This window comes from Homo sapiens, chromosome 2 (genome assembly GCF_000001405.40).
Source record: "Homo sapiens chromosome 2, GRCh38.p14 Primary Assembly".
Classification (NCBI taxonomy): domain Eukaryota; kingdom Metazoa; phylum Chordata; class Mammalia; order Primates; family Hominidae; genus Homo; species Homo sapiens.
In genome coordinates this window covers 128,128,975-128,146,906 of record NC_000002.12, presented here as the reverse complement: position 1 = coordinate 128,146,906, position 17,932 = coordinate 128,128,975, and the positions used below count along the sequence as shown (strand labels likewise).

General features: G+C 41.4%; 1 protein-coding gene and 1 pseudogene across 11 annotated transcripts in view; one reads left to right on the top strand and one right to left on the bottom strand.

Moving 5' to 3' along the window:
* UGGT1 (UDP-glucose glycoprotein glucosyltransferase 1) overlaps window positions 1-17,932 on the bottom strand; it is a 104,478-nt gene that overhangs the window by 48,771 nt on the left and 37,775 nt on the right. For 10 of the 11 annotated variants that reach the window (NR_027671.3, NM_020120.4, XM_006712635.5 and 7 more), the window contains exons 13-18: window positions 17,728-17,878; window positions 13,647-13,766; window positions 11,946-12,031; window positions 8,055-8,190; window positions 3,682-3,813; window positions 940-1,104 (exon numbers count right to left, since the gene is read on the bottom strand). Coding sequence is in view for 10 of the 11 variants with exons in the window: in NM_020120.4 (NP_064505.1) it covers window positions 940-1,104; window positions 3,682-3,813; window positions 8,055-8,190; window positions 11,946-12,031; window positions 13,647-13,766; window positions 17,728-17,878 (790 nt within the window). In the remaining variant the exon portion in view is untranslated. Of the gene's footprint in view, window positions 1-939; window positions 1,105-3,681; window positions 3,814-8,054; window positions 8,191-11,666; window positions 11,736-11,945; window positions 12,032-13,646; window positions 13,767-17,727; window positions 17,879-17,932 lie in introns of those variants that run through there. The other variant, XM_017004509.2, reaches the window with a different exon arrangement.
* On the top strand, window positions 6,260-7,465 carry SRMP3 (SRM pseudogene 3; annotated as a pseudogene).

Genomic DNA, 17,932 nt, shown 5'->3' with positions numbered 1-17,932 from the left:
GAGAGTTGGGGTTCTGAGCAACAAGCTATCTGTCCAATATCATCCTGTTCTCTGCAAATTTGATTTGTATACAACGTCCAGAACAAGCAAATCTATTAAGCAGAAAGTAGGTTTGTGTTTGCCAATGGCAGGGTGGCTGGGAGTAGGACAAAATGGGCAAAATGGAGAGGAGTAATTGCTACTGGATGTGGGGTTTCTTTTGGGGGTGATGATAATGTTCTGAAAATTAGAGGTGGTAGTTACATAACTGTGTGTAGAGAATAAAAACTACTGAATTGTACCGTTCAAAAGACTGACTTTTATACTGTCTGAATTATATCTCAAGAACTATATATATTAATATTTATATATAAATGAAAAATAATATTGAGTCTCTCCAAAGCCAAAATTCCCTACAAATAGAATAAATGTTTCTTAGAACTGCCTGCAATTTTTAAAATAAACATTTAATCCTGAAATCAATAATACTAGTTATTTAAATTACCATATATAGAAGATTTATGAATATTTTCATCATAGGACTTGCCAAGAGTTTGCAAACCAATTACAAGTGACTTACAGAAAATAGTTTTTTGTTTTGTTTTGTTTTTTTTAACGGGACAGGGTCTCACTCCATCACCCAGGCTGGGGTACAGTGGGGTAATCACAGCTCACTGCAACCTTAAACTCCTGGGCTCAAGCGATCCTTCCACCTAAGCTTCCTGAGTAGCTAGGACTACAGGCGTGCACCACCAAGCCTAGCTAATTTTTTAATTTCTTTTTTAGAAATGGGGTCTTGCCATATTGCCCAGGTTGGTCTCAGACTTCCTACCCTCAAACCATCCTCTCGCCTCAGCCTCCCAAATAGTGATACTAAGAATTTTACTGCCTACTATAGAGGCAACAAAAAATATAAGCCAACTGTTCTCTTTAAAAAATCAGCCTTGAAACGTGACTCACCAAGTACACCGCTCTTTGGAAGAAGGTGGTGGTCTCCAGGATTTTATGCATTGTGATGGTTTCTAACTCATCAGGGTCTAGCTGTTCCCTTTCAAAGGGCATTCCATTGAACAGCACAACGGGCAGAGGTCCAACTCCAGTCTGCTCATAGTAGCCTCTTGCTTCCTGAAACACAAGTAACCACAAAAACAGTATATTTTTGCCTTTTGTGAGACAAATGGAACACAGCATATTTTTCTTACATGCCTGTTCTAACAACAATCAATAGAAATATTGTAAAGAAAAAATAACTCAAGATATTTCTTTTTAAAAAAATGAAAAATGACATCAAAGTTAATATCCTACTATGTAAATCTGAGATTGAATTACTGAGTTCAAGTTTTTACAAGACCACAAAAGCTTGCAAATTATGAAGTGCGTGTGTGTGTACGTGTGTTTGTGTATGTGTGTGTGTGTGTGTGTGTGTTTGTGTGTGTGTGTAGCACAGGCTGTCAAAACTGAACTACATATTCTACGGTCAGCACTATACAACAGAACTTTCTGCAATGATGGAAATATTCTATCTGTGCTTGTCTGTGCTGTCCAATGCAGTAGTCACTAACCTCATGTAACTACTGAGCACCTGAAACCTGCCAACTATGACCAAGTAACTAAATCTTTAATTAATTTCCATTTTAAAATCTACATGTGACCATGGGCTGCCAAAATGAGGTGCACAGGTTTTGCTACCATAAATTATAAGCGCTCTATGCAAAAAGCCTGAGGTAAATATTTGCACCCAATTCTAAATAAGGGTCCATATCACTAACAAAGAAATTACACCTGCAGAAAACAAAACAAGGTTTGTGGGGAAACAGTGCTCAACAATTGCTCTAAGACACAATACATCCAATCTTTTCCCTTCTCCAGGACAAAAGAGGTTCACTGGCCAGAAAATACTGGGGCAACAAAACGGCAAATGTACCTAAGACAGACATTTTTCCTGACTGTCAACATAGGTGCTTGTCCCTCAGATTAACTTTTCAGAGTAAAAACTGTATTACCACCCAAGATGTAAAGTGGGCAACTTTACAAATGTCTATCGCACACCTTGTAATTGCCATTTTCTGAAAATAGCAGAATTTAATTATTTATAACCATTTTAGATAGCACCAGTAGAAAAGAACTCCCATTGGGTAACTAATCCGAGTCATCGGTAACAGACTGCTTACTTTCTAATCAGACAAGCTCAATAACAGGTAACAGCACAGAAACTGACAGCCTAAAACATGGCACAGCCTAAAAAGCCTTCTAGGTTGGTTCAAGCCACTTCTCTACATCATAGTTTAAATGTTTTAAATATACACTCCTAAAACTCTTACCATGTTAATTCTGTTCTTTGACATCTCGACTATTTCATAGATATCCATTAAAACTCAATTTTCATCTAACTTTAGTTTTGAAAATCATCCCTGTCAACCAATTAAAACAAGACCAGAAAACTTACATTATAATTCCAAGATACAATAAGATAAATAACATTGGTTTTGTCTGCAAACAGTAACTGAGTGGAAGTCAGGAGTGACAGGGAGGTGTTTGGACTATGTAGCTTCCTTTTTCACCACTCAGAAATAGTTTACAAGACCAAATAACAGAATGCAGCACAATTATCAAACAGCCAAACTGAAAATTCATATGGACAAATTTTCTATCAACAGCTAACTAAAAATATTAAATAATGATAAATAATTAACAAACATTAATTTTTGGTAGTTTTATACTGAGCCACTCACAAACAACTGAGATTAGTAAGGACTCGAAGATAATATGCTAAAGGTAAAGTGTTTGCCCACGTAGGTTAGAACTTTTCCTAATATCATTATCTTACTGGCTTTGAAAGATATAAATATATACCTATCAGACTATATATTCTCATCAGTTTAAAATTTCTACTTTAATTGCATTGCCTACTTTTTAAAATAATTACTTCTTTCAGACACAGAAGATATCATAGCTTCACTATAACAAAAGGAACAGATTTACAAGTGCAATGACATTTATTAGAAGCAGCCATTTTTCCTAAAATTAACCATTTCAAAAGAATCCATTCCATTGGACTTTTTGTATAGGGGTAAAGCTGCTGTAGTTAAAAAAAAAAAAAATCTCATTAGTCATTAGATTGTTAGGACTTCTGGGATACTCTCCACATCCCTGCCTTAAGAGTACTTCTATTCAAAAAGCTAGACAATTAAATGGATGAAATATAAATAATATGACCTGTTTGTATACAGAAGAGCCTCTAATCAGTACAGATGGCCAAGTCTAGGAAACTAAGGAGCATGGTGTGTGATACTCTCATTCAATTTTTCAGCACAATCAAGATTTCGACACATGTAAAGATATAAAAATACTCCTTTCCCCAGTTTGTCCACTCTACTCATCATTTTTCAAGTAAATACTTTTGATATCATAATCATCCACAATAAAAAGCTACTGGTACTTTCTCTTCAACAGGATAAGAGAAAATGAGACTTAAACAGTTCCATTAAAAGTTAATAAGCAAGTTAAAAATCAGTCATATCTTCACAAGACTGAAATAAAAACTTTTTCAAACACTGAAAAGTGATCTGGTTTCTAAACTTTTAAATGCTAAGTACTGAAACACTTTAACCACCATCGCCATTATTAACCAAAGCCCCCAAACACGGGGTTAAGGACAGTACAATGTTGCAATCAAATAAGAAACACAAAGAAATTTTTTACCTTCCGATTCCGATCATAAGCAGAATCAATCCCCAAAATGCTATTCACTTCTACATACGGATATTTCTTCTCCAGGACACTGACCACATGTTCAACTTTCACTTTTTCTCCAGTCCTCACCTTGTTATAGATCTGAAGAAAGAAAAAACAGTTGGTTAACTACACTTTTAAGTTCAAATTTCAAAGTGTTTATTCCACATTTTTCTGAATTTAGAGGAAAATATACTTATTTTTCTTTTTTTTTTTTTGAGACGGAGTTTTGCTGTCACCCAGGTTGGAGTGCAATGGCACAATCTCGGCTCACTGAACCTCCGCCTTCCGGATTCGTGTGAATCTCCTGTCTCAGCCTCCAGAATAGCTGGGATTAGACACCTGCCACCACGCCCAGCTAATTTTTTGTATTTTTAGTAGAGACAGGTTTCACCATGTTGGCCAGGCTGGTCTTGAAACCCTGACCTCAGGTGATCCACCCGCCTCAGTCTCCCAAAGTGCTGGGATTACAGGCATGAGCCACTGCGCCTGGCCAATTACTTTTCTTGAAAGGTCAAATTGGGACATGTTAGCAATTCTTCCTTTTCCATATACCTTACTAAGATGGCTTCCTAGGTTGGAAATTAAATATTCTTTTTTTTTTTTTTTTTGAGATGGAGTCTCACTCTGTCACCCAGGTTGGAGTGCAGTGGCACAATCTTGGCTCACTACAACCTCTACCTCCCAGGTTCAAGCGCTTCTCCTGCCTCAGCCTCCTGAGTAGCTGGGACTACAGGCACACGCCTCCACGCCCAGCTAATTTTTGTATTTTTTAGTAGAGACGGGGTTTCACCATACTGGCTAGGCTGGTCTTGAACTCCTGACCTCGTGATTCGCCCGCCTCGGCCTCCCAAAGTGCTGGGATTACAGGCATGAGCCACCACACCTGGCCGGAATCAGCTCAGTCTTGTTAAGTGTCAAATGAAAAAATATATTAGTTAAGAAAAATCTAAATAGGCCAGGCAGGCATGGTGGCTCACACCTGTAATCCCAGCACTTTGGGAGGGTGAGGCGGGTGGATCACTTGAGGTCAGGAGTTCGAGAACAGCCTGGCCAACATGCTGAAACCCTACTAAAAACACAAAAATTAGCCTGCCGTGGTAGTGCACACCTGTAATTCCAGCTACTCAGGAGGCTGCAGCAGGCGAATCCCTTAAACCCAGGAGGCAGAGGTTGCTGTGGGCCAAGATCACACAACTGCACTCTAGCTTGGATGATGGAGTGAGACTGTCTCAAAAAAAAGAGAAAAATCTCAACACTTATAAGTAGTCCTTGAAATAAAAACTACATCCACGATGTTTAGGAGGGATGAGGAAAGGGAGAGGGGAGAGATAGAGAAATCTAAATTGACTCCAGTATTATTTATTTGATTTTTTTTTTTTTTTGAGATGGAGTTTCCACTCATCACCCAGGCTGGAGTGCAATGGCACCATCTTGGCTCACTGCTACCTCCGCCTCCTGGGTTCAAGAGACTCTCCAGCCTCAGCCTCCCAATTAGCTGGGCGTGGTGGCAGGCGTCTAATCCCAGCTATTCTGGAGGCTGAGACATGGTGCCTGCCACTATGTCTGGTTAATTTTTGTTTTGTTTTTTGAGATGGAGTCTCGCTTCGTCACCCAGGCTGGAGTGCAGTGGCTCGATCTTGGCTCATTGCAAGCTCTGCCTGCCAGGTTCATGCCATTCTCCTGCCTCAGCCTCCCGAGTAGCTGGGACCACAGGCGCCTGCCACCACGCCCATTTAATTTTTTTTAATTTTTAATAGAGACAGGTTTCACTGTGTTAAAGCCAGGATGGTCTTGATCTCTTGATCTCCTGATCTCGTGATCCACCTGCCTCGGCCTCCCCAAAGTACTAGGATTGCAGGCATGAGCCACCGTGCCCGGCCCAATTTTTGTATTTTTAGTAGAGATGAGGTTTCCCCATGTTGGCCAGGCTGGTCTCGAATTCCTGACCTCAAATGATCCACCCACCTCGGCCACCCAAAGTGCTGGAATTACAGGCATGAGCCACCACACATGGCCAATTTTTGTATTTTTAGTAGAAACGGGGTTTCACCATGTTGGCCAGGCTGGTCTCAAACTCCTGACCTCAGGTGATCTCCCTCCCTTGGCCTCCCAAAGTGCTGGAATTATAGGTGTGAGCCACTGCGCCTGGCCTCAAGTGTTTTTACAGTGAGCAGTATTACTTCACTTCTGAAATAAAAAACAGCAGCCAAGCCCCAGTGGCTCACACGTAAAATCCCAGCACTTTGGGAGGCCAAGGCAGTAAGATTGTTTAAGCTCAGTAGTTCGAGACCAGCCTGGGAAACATAGTGAGACATCATCTCTACCAAAAATTAAAAACAACAACAAAATTAGCTGGGTATGGTGATGCATGCCTGTAGTCTCAGCTATTCCAGGAAGCTGAGGCAGGAGGATCACTTAGGGCCAGGAGTTCAAGGCTGTAGTAAACCCTGACTGCGCTGCTGCAATCCAGCCTGGGCAACAGTGAGATCCTGTCTCTAAAAAAAATTTTTTAATAAAATAAAATAAACAGTGGGTGGTGGGTGTAGCTGGTCCTGTTGTGCTGTGGCTCTGCACAGCCTGCAGTCTCAGGCCGCAGAGCCCAAGAGACATGGAGCCTGGCTTCAATGGTCACGCTGCCATTTAGGAGGGCTGGTTCCATGAGATCTGCAGCCTGAGCCCAGGGAAGCCTTGTTGCTACAGATGGAGCAGCTGCTCCACTGCCAGCGCTCACGCTCCCAGGATATCCTTGTTTTCCACAGTAAGACCCACAGCAGTGTGCTGGTGTTGGATGGCATCATCCCCTGCATGGACAGGGACAAGTTCTCCTACTAGATGAGAATCAACCTGCCATTCAGCAACCACCCCATCCCACAAAAGGTGCTGATCGTCGGGGACAAAGACGGCATCCTGCACAAGGTGGTGAAGCACCCCTCTGTGGAGTCTGTGGTCCGATGATAGACTGAAAAGGATGGCACTCAGGTCTCTAAGAAATTCCTGCCGGGTATGGCCATTGGCTTCTCTAGCTCTAAGCTGACCCTGCATATGGGTGACGATTTTGATTTCGTGAAGCAGAACCAGGATGCCTTCAATATTATGATCACTGACTCCTGGGATCCGCTGAGAGCCTCTTCAAGGAATCCTATTACCACTCATGAAGATGGCCCTCAACGAGGACAGCATTCTCTGCTGCCAGGGCGAGTACCAGTGGCTGCACCTGGACCTCATCAAGCAGACACGGTAGTTCTGCCAGTCACTCTTCTCCATGGTGGCACACGCCTACTGCACTGTCCCCACCTATCCCAGTGGCCAGATTGCCTTCATGCTCTGCAGCAAAAACCCGAGCACCAACTTCCAGAAGCCCATGCAACAAGTGACACGGCAGCAGGTGGAGCAGGTGCAGCTGCTCAGATGTGTACAGTGCTGCCTTCGTACTGCCCAAGTTTGCCTGCAAGTCCCTGAATGATGTGAGCTGAACCCAGGCGCCACAGCAGGTGCCACCCGGGATCTCAGATCTGGGAGCCTCCAGGATGCCTGCGCCCCTTCAGCCCTAGGCCAGATCCCCTGCTGACTGTCACCTGCCAACCAAGTGTTACAAGCCTCAGAATACTGCCCAGCTTTCCCTGCTGAGTGCTGGACTGTTTCTGTGTCTGTCTCTGTGTGACATTCGGCCTCCAAGCCTATACCAGCTGTGTACAGTACCATCTCTCTATCTTCTTTGGCCCCCTCGATCAAACATGTGTACTTATAACAATAAAAAATAAATGAATAAATAAATAAATAAAAACTTTAAAAAGCAGAGTTAAAATATTCTCTGGGCATGGTGGTGCACGGCCGTAATCCCAGCTATTTGGGACTGACATGGGAGGATCCCTTAAGCCTAGGAGTTTGAGACCAGCTTGAGCAACACAACAAGATCTGGTCTCAAAAAGTACATAAATAAATAAAATTTTAAGGTAGCCGTTGTGGAAGATATATTCAAACAAACAAACAAAAGCAAACCTTTAGCAGAGATAAAGTGAATAAAATAACAAAGTATAAAATACTTACTATTCTGAGTGACTTCTTTTGAACCTATTTCATTCTCCGCAGCCCTGCTTAACTACCTTCCCCATTACTTCTCATGGAGATCACTGCAACAGCTCATCAACTGGCATCCCTGCCACTTTGCTTTGCCCTTCCTCAGATCCATCTCTATACACTGCAGCAGACATGACTTTTAAATTCAGGACCCACCCCTGAGCTCTATACACCCCAGCTGCCTAGCATACAATGACCACACATTGTTATTAAGAGTAAGTTAGATCTGAAAAAATTATTTGCCATTCTGAACAAAAACGTACATGTGTCAGAGTCTGGAAGGCATGATAATCATCCACTTCTTGGGCAACATAATTATATGCTCTAAGAACAGCCACTCCAGCATCTTGCATCCCATCAACATCTTCAGAGTCATTAACCACAAAGATAAAACCAATTCTGGAGGGAAAGGGAAAAGAAAAAAAGAAACATGTCAAAGAATGCAAATGGTTAAAAAGAATGACATCCTTGTACCCTTCTCATACATTATAGCTAACAGAGGAAAACTCTTTGAGTGAAAAGCACAGTTCACAGCCTACTCTACTCTAACATGATTGGCAAAGGTATACATACACCACTTACAAAGGTTTTTTTTTTTTTTAGACAGAGTTTCACTCTTGTTGCCCAGGGTGGAGTGCAATGGTGCAATCTCGGCTCACTGCAACCTCCGTCTCCCAGGTTCAAGCGATTCTCCTGCCTCAGCCTCCCAAGTAGCTGCGATTATACGCCACTACCCCTGGCTAATTTTTTGTATTTTTAGTAGAGATGGGGTTTCACCATGTTGGCCAGGCTGGTGTCGAACTCCTGACCTCAGGTGATCCATCAGCCTCGGCCTCCCAAAGTGCTGGGATTACAGGCATGAGCCACCATGCCCGGCCACTTACAAAGTATTAATAAAAAAGCAGGCTCTCAAACGTGGCTTAGGCCTTTCTACTGTTAAAGCAAGCCATTTCCACGTCATGAAAAGATTCCTTTACTGACATGAAGAGCGTTGCTATAGTTTTAAGAGATTTTTTTTTTCTGATTTTAAACAAAAACTAGAATAAAAATTTTCACACTTTCAAAGTAAACAGAAAGGGGGGGATTGTGACATTTAGCACATGCAGTATGAGAATTATTGGTAAAAGAAAAGCCAAAAAAGGTTTACAACTGTCCCACGACAAAAAGCAATAACCAAGGTTAAAGTTTATCAGATTTTAAATTTTAAAATAAAGGAATTAACCACAGAGATACTATTATGTATCTATAGATGGGCTGGCAAAAAAGACTTTGCACTGAACATACTGGGGCAAAGGCATTTCAATGGACAAAGAATCATCTTTTCAATAAATGGTGCTGAACAACTGGACATGCACATGCATATTAATCAGTCTAGACCAGACTTTATATCTTTCACAAAAATTCATTCAAAGTGGATCACAGGTCTAAATGTAAAACACAAAAACAAAAATTCCCAGACGATAGCAGAGAAGAAAATTTAGGTGGTCTCGAGCTTGGCAATGATGTTAGATCCAAAAGCACAATCCATGAAAGACAACACTTGGTTAATTTGGACTTCACTAAAATTAAAAATGTCTGCCCTGTGAAAGATACTATTAACAGAATGAAAGGACAAGCCATAGAGTGGCAGAAAATCTTTGCAAAACAACCATCTGATAAAGGACAGGTAAACAAAATATGCAACTCTTCTTGTTTGTTTTTCAACAGGGCCTTGCTCTGTTGCCGAGGCCAGAGTGCAGTGGCACAATCAGCTCATTGCAGCCTCAAACCTCTGGGCTCAAACAATCCTCCACTTCAGCCTCCCAAGTAGCTGGGACTACAGGTGTGTGCCACCACGCCTGGCTACTCTTTTTTAGTTCTCTGTAGAGATGGAGGTCTTCTCATGTTGCCCATGGTGATCTCAAATCCTGGCCTCAAGCGATCCTCCCACCTTGGCCTCCCAAAGTCCTGGGATTATAGGCATGAGCCATTGCACCTGGCTTACAAAGAACTCTTAAAACTCAACAATAAGAAAACAACCAAAGTTTTAAAAATGGAGACAAAAGGGCAGGGGGAAAAAAAGAAGAAAAAAGAAAAGGACAAAAAATCTGAACAGACACTTCACCAAACAAGATATACAGATAGGTGATAAATATAAGTAGATCCTGAACATCATATGTCATTAGGGAACGGCAAATTAAACAACAATGACATACCACCACACACCTATCAGAATGACCAAAATCCTAAATACTGGTAAAACCAAATGCTGGCAAGGCTGTGGAGCAACAGGATCTCTCATTCATTGCTGGTGGAAATGCAAAATGGTACCGCTACTTTAGAACAAAACTAAGCATACTCTTACAAAACTAAGCATACTATTAACACACGATGCAGCAATCACGCTCCTCGGTATTTACCCGAAGAAGCTGTAGACATGTCCACACAAATACCTGCACCCAGATGTTTATAGCAGGTTTATTCATAACTGCCAAAACTTGTAGGCAACCAAGGTATCTTTCAATTAAGTGAATGGATAAATAAATGGGGGGACATCCACATAATGACTATTATCCAGTGATAAGAAGAAATGAGCTATCAAGCCACTAGAAGACACAGAGGAAGCTTAAATGCACATTGCTCAGTGAAAGACACCAATCTGAATAGGCACACGCCGTATGACTGCAACCTAGTTCTGGAAAATGCAAAACTATGAAGACAGTAAAAAGATCAGTAGTTGCCAAAGATTTAGGGGAAGGGAGGAAGAGATAAACAAGTGAAGCACAGGAGATTTTTAGGGCAGTGAAACTAATCTGTATTAAACTGTATTGTAATGTGAATACTTTACATCATACATTTGTGTCATCAACACAAATAACAAATCTTAATGTAAACTATGGAGTTTAGTTAATAATAATGTATCAATATTTAGCAGCCAACATGCAGGACCACATGAGCTCCTACAAAGAAGGAAAGAGCAGCCTGTATGCCTGGCTCTCTCCAACTATTCACAATCTCTCAGTTGCCTAGGAGTTCAAGTGCCTTCTTCTCACCTGCCTTTGCAATCAGAAGACCACATGCCCTCTTCTCGTCCCTCAATTCAAGAAATATTGTATTAGTGCCAACTGTGTACCACGACCCAACTTCTTCTGTGTCCTTATATTTCTCTTTTGATCAAAACATAGCTCTGGTTGTGATCCAGTAATAGGTTCTTCCATCTAACCAGATGTATTCATGCTTTATATGAAAAATGTCATGAAACTCAAAATCTCTGCATTTCCAACTATCAGAACCCTCTGTTTTCCTCAAAGCCTATTTGAAATCCAACTTCTCCAAAAACCTTTGGCTTCCCAAATATCTCAATGATTTTTTTTGTTTCCCTGAAATCCTAACGCACTTATAACTAACCAGTAGGACATAACCTAGCAGTTGATCATATATCTCCCTAAAGGGTTTGAAAGTATACAGAGGATCTTTTCCAAGAAGGTAGAATAAGGCATACATGTTTACAGCATTTAGCCCAGTAGTAATCATGGAACACACAGTAATATTTATTGAATAAAGAGTTATTTTCTTCTTTATTTTCACATTTTCTAAGAATTAAAATTTCACCAACATGTAAAATTACCAGAATTATTTAGAATGTAGGTGAAAATATCTTAGCATTTATATGTAAAACCTTTAAAAAATAAAAAAAACTGTTCTTAAAAAGACAGTGGAAATCCAGCCACTCAGTACCCTGTAGGCAGGTTTGGCAACACAAGTGAAGTAACTGTTACTGTTTGCATCTACAAAAGGCTGTGTATATGTTTAGTCCTTGACAGGCTAACAAGTTATTGGCAATGCTCTATATCTCTGCTGAAAGTGGAAATAGGTTTTGTGATGTGGACACTCACCTAGGAAAATTCCCTTCCATTGGGAAGCAAGCTGCAGCCAGAAACTATTTTTACATGGGCTATTTATTGATAATTCATTGGTGGTAAGCTTCTATTCATTGAGAAGCAAATTCTCAGTCCCAAAAGACACTGGCTTCATACTGACCAGAAGATAAAATTGCCATTAGTGATGTGCACTATTAATTATCCTACAACTCAGTAGCACCAGACTTGCATTTAAAAATGACAAATAAAACCTCAGCTAAATTAGATACATCATCAAATCAATACCAGTGTTACCTTAGTGGTATATGATTACTAAGGAACATCTCAGCTGTGTTCATCAACTCTGCTGTGGTCTCATGTGCAGGATCAACTATGAAAACCTGTTGAAGAAAGGGAAAAGAACACATGAAATGACATTTATTCAAGTATCTGTGGGCCGAGAAAAATGTTATGAGTCACTGTACATGAAGCCAACCTTTTTCGAGCTACGCTTGAACCACATAAAAGATGAATTACACACATAGCAGCTACCTCCCTCTATGTTCAAAAAACCTGGTACTGAAGGGCTAGGTGATTTTCTCATGGACTTACGCTGATAACAAGGGAACTGTACTCCAAAGTGATGATGCCGCTTTTTCTACTACACCAAATGAAAACCAAGTTTAGCAACTCTCTCACCTTAAAAAATGGAGCCTGCCTTTTTGTATATTCATTTCTGAGGATCTCTGAATTAAGAATTCACTTAGAACCTAATTCTTAGACCACAGCCACAGCTGTCAGGCAAGCATATAAACACGTATTACGTGTTAAGCAACTTAGACGTATTCTCTCGCTTAATAAAGTTCAGACATGTGGTAAAACAGAATGAGATTTAAATTCTGACTAGAAAGGAAAGAAGTGGTTTCAAGAGACAGAAAAGTGGCCAGGCATGGTGGCTCACACCTGTAATCCCAGCACTTTGGGAGGCCAAGGCAGGTGGATCACCTGAGTTCAGGAGTTTGAAACCAGCCCAGCCAATGTAGTGAAACCCCGTCTCTACTAAAAATACAAAAATCAGCCAGGTGTGGTGGCATGCACCTGTAATTCCCACTACTGGGAGGTGAGGCAGGAGAATCACTTGAACCCCAGGGGGCAGAGGTTGCAGTGAGCCGAGATCCTGCCACTGCACTCCAGCCTGGGCAACAGAGCAAGACTCTTTCTGCGGGAGTGGGGGGAAGAAAAGAGACAGACAAGAAGAAAAGTAGAGAGGGTAATCTTCCCTGCAAGTTCTGAGGAGGCCAACCTTGGCACTAACCCTACCACTATCTCTTTCCCGGCTGTGTGAGGGAAGGGAAAGAAATGAGAGGGAAAAAGTGGGCCAATGAAGAACCCTCTCTCTCTCTCTCTCTAAAGCAGTGCAAGAAGGAATAACAAGTAGGAGTTGGCAAACAACCATATTTAAGGGAATAAATTAAACTGCTGAATTTTAGGGATTAAGATATTAAAGAAAAACAGTAGCAATATGCTGTAATATACTGTAAAAAAAGAGCTATCTTAAAACTAGTAAAACAATATTGCTATGAAACTAAAACTGCCCTAAAAAATATAAAGTCTTAAAATAAAAACAAACACATCACTGAATGGTGTGAAGAGTATGAAAAGGAAACTTATTCAATCTGGAAAAGCTGATTAGAAAAAATAAAAATTAAAAAATTAAAAATGTTTTAAAATTAAAAACAAATTAAAAGACTAAAACAATAGTCTAAACCTTCGTGTTAAAAATGAGCATTTCCCCACACTCTGAGGGGGGCTGTAATGCTCCTGTTACATCCCACAGCCCCACAAGTGGTCAGTACACTACAAAGCCTTTCCAGTGTGAACAGGGAAGAGTATTTGGTGAAGGGTGGGGGAGGAAGCAGCTAGTAAAGGTGAGAAGTGACCATTCTACATGACAAAAAAAGAGGGACTAGGCAAGGGAGAAACAGAGTTCACAGCCAGACAATAAGTTTTACTTACCATATTATGTAAGTTTTTCCTGATCTGCCGAATAACACCAGGAAAGGTGGGTCGAAGCAACTCTTGTAAACTAGAAGGCCACGAATTATATCTGCTATCAACCTCCAGGTTGTTGACCCACTACAAAAAATAACACAACAGGATACATGCACATTAGGAACCAGTTAGTAAAACCTGCAATAATATCAATAAGACTTTAAAATATTTTAAGAAGAATCATGTGAGACAAGACCATTTTCAAAGATAAAAAGATTGGCTGCAGTGAGTGGCTCACATCTGTAATCCTAGCACTTTGGAAGGACAAGGCAGGAGGATCACTTGAGCCCAGGAGTTCAAGACCAGCCTGGGCAATATTATGAGACCCCCATCTCTGCAAAAAAATATAAAAATTAGCCAGGCATGGTGGCTGCTGTCCCAGCCACTCAGGAGGCTGAGGCGGGATGATCACCTGAGCCCAAGGGGTTCGAGGCTGCAATGAGCCATGATTGTGCCACTGCACTCCAGCCTGAACAACAGAGCAAGACCCTATCTCAAAAAAACAAACAAAAAAGATACAAAGATCGAGTGGAAAAATGAGTGACTAAAAGATAAGCCACAGAATAGATGAAGACATTTGTAACCTACAAACCCAATAAAGGACTAGCGTCAAGAATGAAGAAGACATAAAAATAAAAGAAAGAAGCGAAATTTTTTTTGTTTGTTTGTTTTTGTTTTTGAGATGAAGTCTCTCTATTGACGAGGCTGAAGTGCAGTGGAGCAATCTCGGCTCACTGAAACCTCTGCCTCCTGGGTTCAAACGATTCTCGTGCCTCAGCCCCCCGAGTAGCTGGAATTACAGGCACCCACCAACACGCCCAGTGAATTTTTGTACTTTTAGTAGAGGTGGGGTTTCGCCATGTTGGCCAGGCTGGTCTTGAACTCCTGACCTCAAGTGATCCGCCCACCTCGGCCTCCCAAAGTGCTGGGATTACAGGTGTGAGCCACAGCACCCAGCCCTAAACTTTTTAAGAACAAAGGAAAAAAGAAAATGTAAAAAAAAATCGGAAAAAAAAAAAGAATATGAAAAATAAACAGCGGAAACCCAAATGGGCAATAAACATAAGAAATGTGTACACCCTCAATTGTAATCTAGGAACTATGAGCTAAGACCTCAATGAAATTTCATACTCGCTAGACAGAAAAAGTGAAAGTTTGTCAAGACCAAGAATAGGAAAAGATATAGAGCAAAGAGAACTCTCATGCAATGCTGGTATGTGGACAAACACTTTAGAGAACTGGATCTAATAAAGTTGAAGACTATATTAGTACTAATTTTTCTAAAATAAATGCAGTACTGCCGGGTGTGGTGGCTCACGCCTGTAATCCCAGCACTTTGGGAGGCCAAAGTGGGCAGATCATGAGATCAAGAGATTGAGACCATCCTGGCCAACATGGTGAAAGCCCCATCTCTATTAAAAATACAAAAATTAGCTGGGCATGGTGGTGTGCGCCTGTAGTCCCAGCTACTCGGGAGGCTGAGGCAGGAGAATCGTTTGAACCTGGGAGGCGGAAGTTGCAGTGAGCTGAGATCACACCACTGCACTTCAGCCTGGCAAGAGAGCGAGACTGCAATGCAACACAACGCAATGCAACACAATGCAACACAACACAACACAATACAATACTCTAGTTCCAGATATCTACCCCAAATAAATTCACATGTATACACAAAAAGAGAGGAAAAAAGAGCCTAATTAAAGTAGTGTTTACAACAGCAAAACATCAGAAACAACTTCATGTCCACAAAGAGCAATTGTTCAGGAGGCTGAGGCAGGAGGACCTCTCAAACACAGGAGTTTAAGGCTGTGGTGAGCTATGATTGCATTCCTGCATTCCAGCAGGGTTTCACCATGTTGGCCAGGCAGGTCTCCAACTCCTGAGCTAAAGTGATCCGCCCACCACGGCCTCCCAAAGTGCTGGGATTACTGGCGTGAGCCACCGCGCCTGACTGGATTATCCCAATTTTTTTTTTTTTTTTTTTTTTTTTTGAGACAAGAGTCTCACTCTGTCGCCCAGGCTGGAGTACAGTGGCTTGATCTCGGCTCACTGCAACCTCTGCCTCCCGAATTCAAGCAATTCTCCTGCCTCAGCCTCCCAAGGAGCTGGGATTACAGGTGTGTACCACCACGCCCAGCTAATTTTTGTATTTTTAGTAGAGATGGGGTTTCACCATGTTGCCCAGGCTGGTCGCGAACTCCTCACCTCAAATGATCCACCCACCTCGGCCTCCCAAAGTGCTGGGATTACAGGCGTGAGCCACTGTGCCTGGCCTCAAATTTTTAGAATATTAAATAGGAGTCAGGTAAGGTGGTGCATGCCTATGGTTCCAGCTATTCAGGAAGCTGAAGCAAGAGGATTGCTTGACCGCAGGAATTTGAGTCCAGCCTGGGCAACATAGTGAGACTCATCTCTAAAAAAACAAAAGAAAGAAAGAAAAATATATTTGATAGAAAATAAAAGGATAAAATAAGGGACAAGGGAATGCACACCAACTTGAGAAAAGATATGAACTTCAGGAAGGAGAGGGGTGGTTGGTAAGGGACAAAGAAGGGCTTCAACTAAAACTGTTTCTTCCCCCAAGAAAACAGTTAAATCTGACACAAAATGATTAAATGTTAACATTTAGTAAGCATGATGATGGGTCCTATGGTTGTTAGTCCCTTTATGTTTGCATAAACATGTCATGTTGATGTTATTATCTTTTACTCTTTATAAGTACTTTTAACAGAAAAGCAAATGACATTAACAATGTCTTCATCAAAATAAGTTATATCACCAAGTATGAATTCAAGTAATGATTATCTACATTCTACATTATTTCTCTTAAATAAAATTTTTCTAAAATGAATGCAGTACAGAAACCAAGAAAAAATAAGATCAGCTCTCCACTCACCTTATTTTTTACCACAACTGCCCAAGATGGCACTATTCCCCACATTCTCTATTTTTTTTTTTTTTTTTGTGACGGAGTCTTGCTCTGTCACCCAGACTGGAGCGCAGTGGCGTGATCTCAGCTACCTGTAACCTCCACCCCCAGGTTGAAGCAATTCTCCTGCCTCAGCCTCCCGAATAGCTAAGATTAGGAGGTGTGTGCCACCACACCCGGCTAATTTTTGTATTTTGAGTACAGACGGGGTTTCACCATGTTGGCCAGGCTGGTCTCAATCTCCTGACCTTAGGTGATCCACCCGCCTTGGCCTCCCAAAGTGCTGGGATTACAGGCACGAGCCACCAAGCCCAGCCCTATTCCCCACATTCTCTGACAGATGACAAGACAAAGGCTCAGAAAGATCATATGGCAGGCAAAAGTCTATATAAATCCTTCAAATCTCAAATATCAAAATCCTACTAAAGAAGGTTCTTAGCTAAAAAGTGACATTTTCAATAGTAGTTTTAATTTACAGATGTCACGACATCACACAAGATCTGTATGCAATTGAGAAAATACAAACTAAACGCTTTTTCCCAAGAGATGCTCAGCTGAATACCAGGGGCATGCTCAAGTGAAAAAAATCACTGTCTTGGCCAGGCGCACTGGTTCACGCCTATAATCGCAGCACTTTGGGAGGCAGAGGTGGGTGTATCACCTGAGGTCAGGAGTTTGAGACCAGCCTGACCAATATTGTGAAACCCCGTCTATACTAAAAATACAAAAATTAGTCAGGCGTGGTGGCAGGCTCCTGTAATGCCAGCTACTCGGGAGGCTGAGGCAGGAGAATTGCTTGAACCTGGGAGGCAGAGGTTGCAGTAAGCCAAGATCGCGCCACTGCACTCCAGCCTGGACAACAGAGCAAGACTCTGTCTTGAAAAAAAAAAAAAAAAAATCACTGTCTTAACCACATTAGCAACAATAACTCAACTTTTTGAAGCATTTAAGGGCCTACTTTATTACATACACAAAGTCCCATATAAGCAATTATAAATCTTTCACACCAACAAAAGAGATGGTGGGAGTAACTTCACCCTCATAAGAGACAAATCAGAAACCATAAAAAAGATTCCTGGTCAGAAAGTCCTTTGATCACCCTAACAAAATACTCACTGAAATAGCAGGACTCCGGATGTCTACGGCATAGTCTGCCTCAGAGGGCTGGATGTTCAGCTTCAAAACATTATGCAGAGAAAGGCCTTCTATTCCCAATCTATGCAGACCCTCCATTACCCGAGCTTCATTCCTCAACACATCAAACAGACTGGGGGGAAAAACAAAAAGAGATATTTACTAGGAAAAAAAGCTTTTAAAAAAA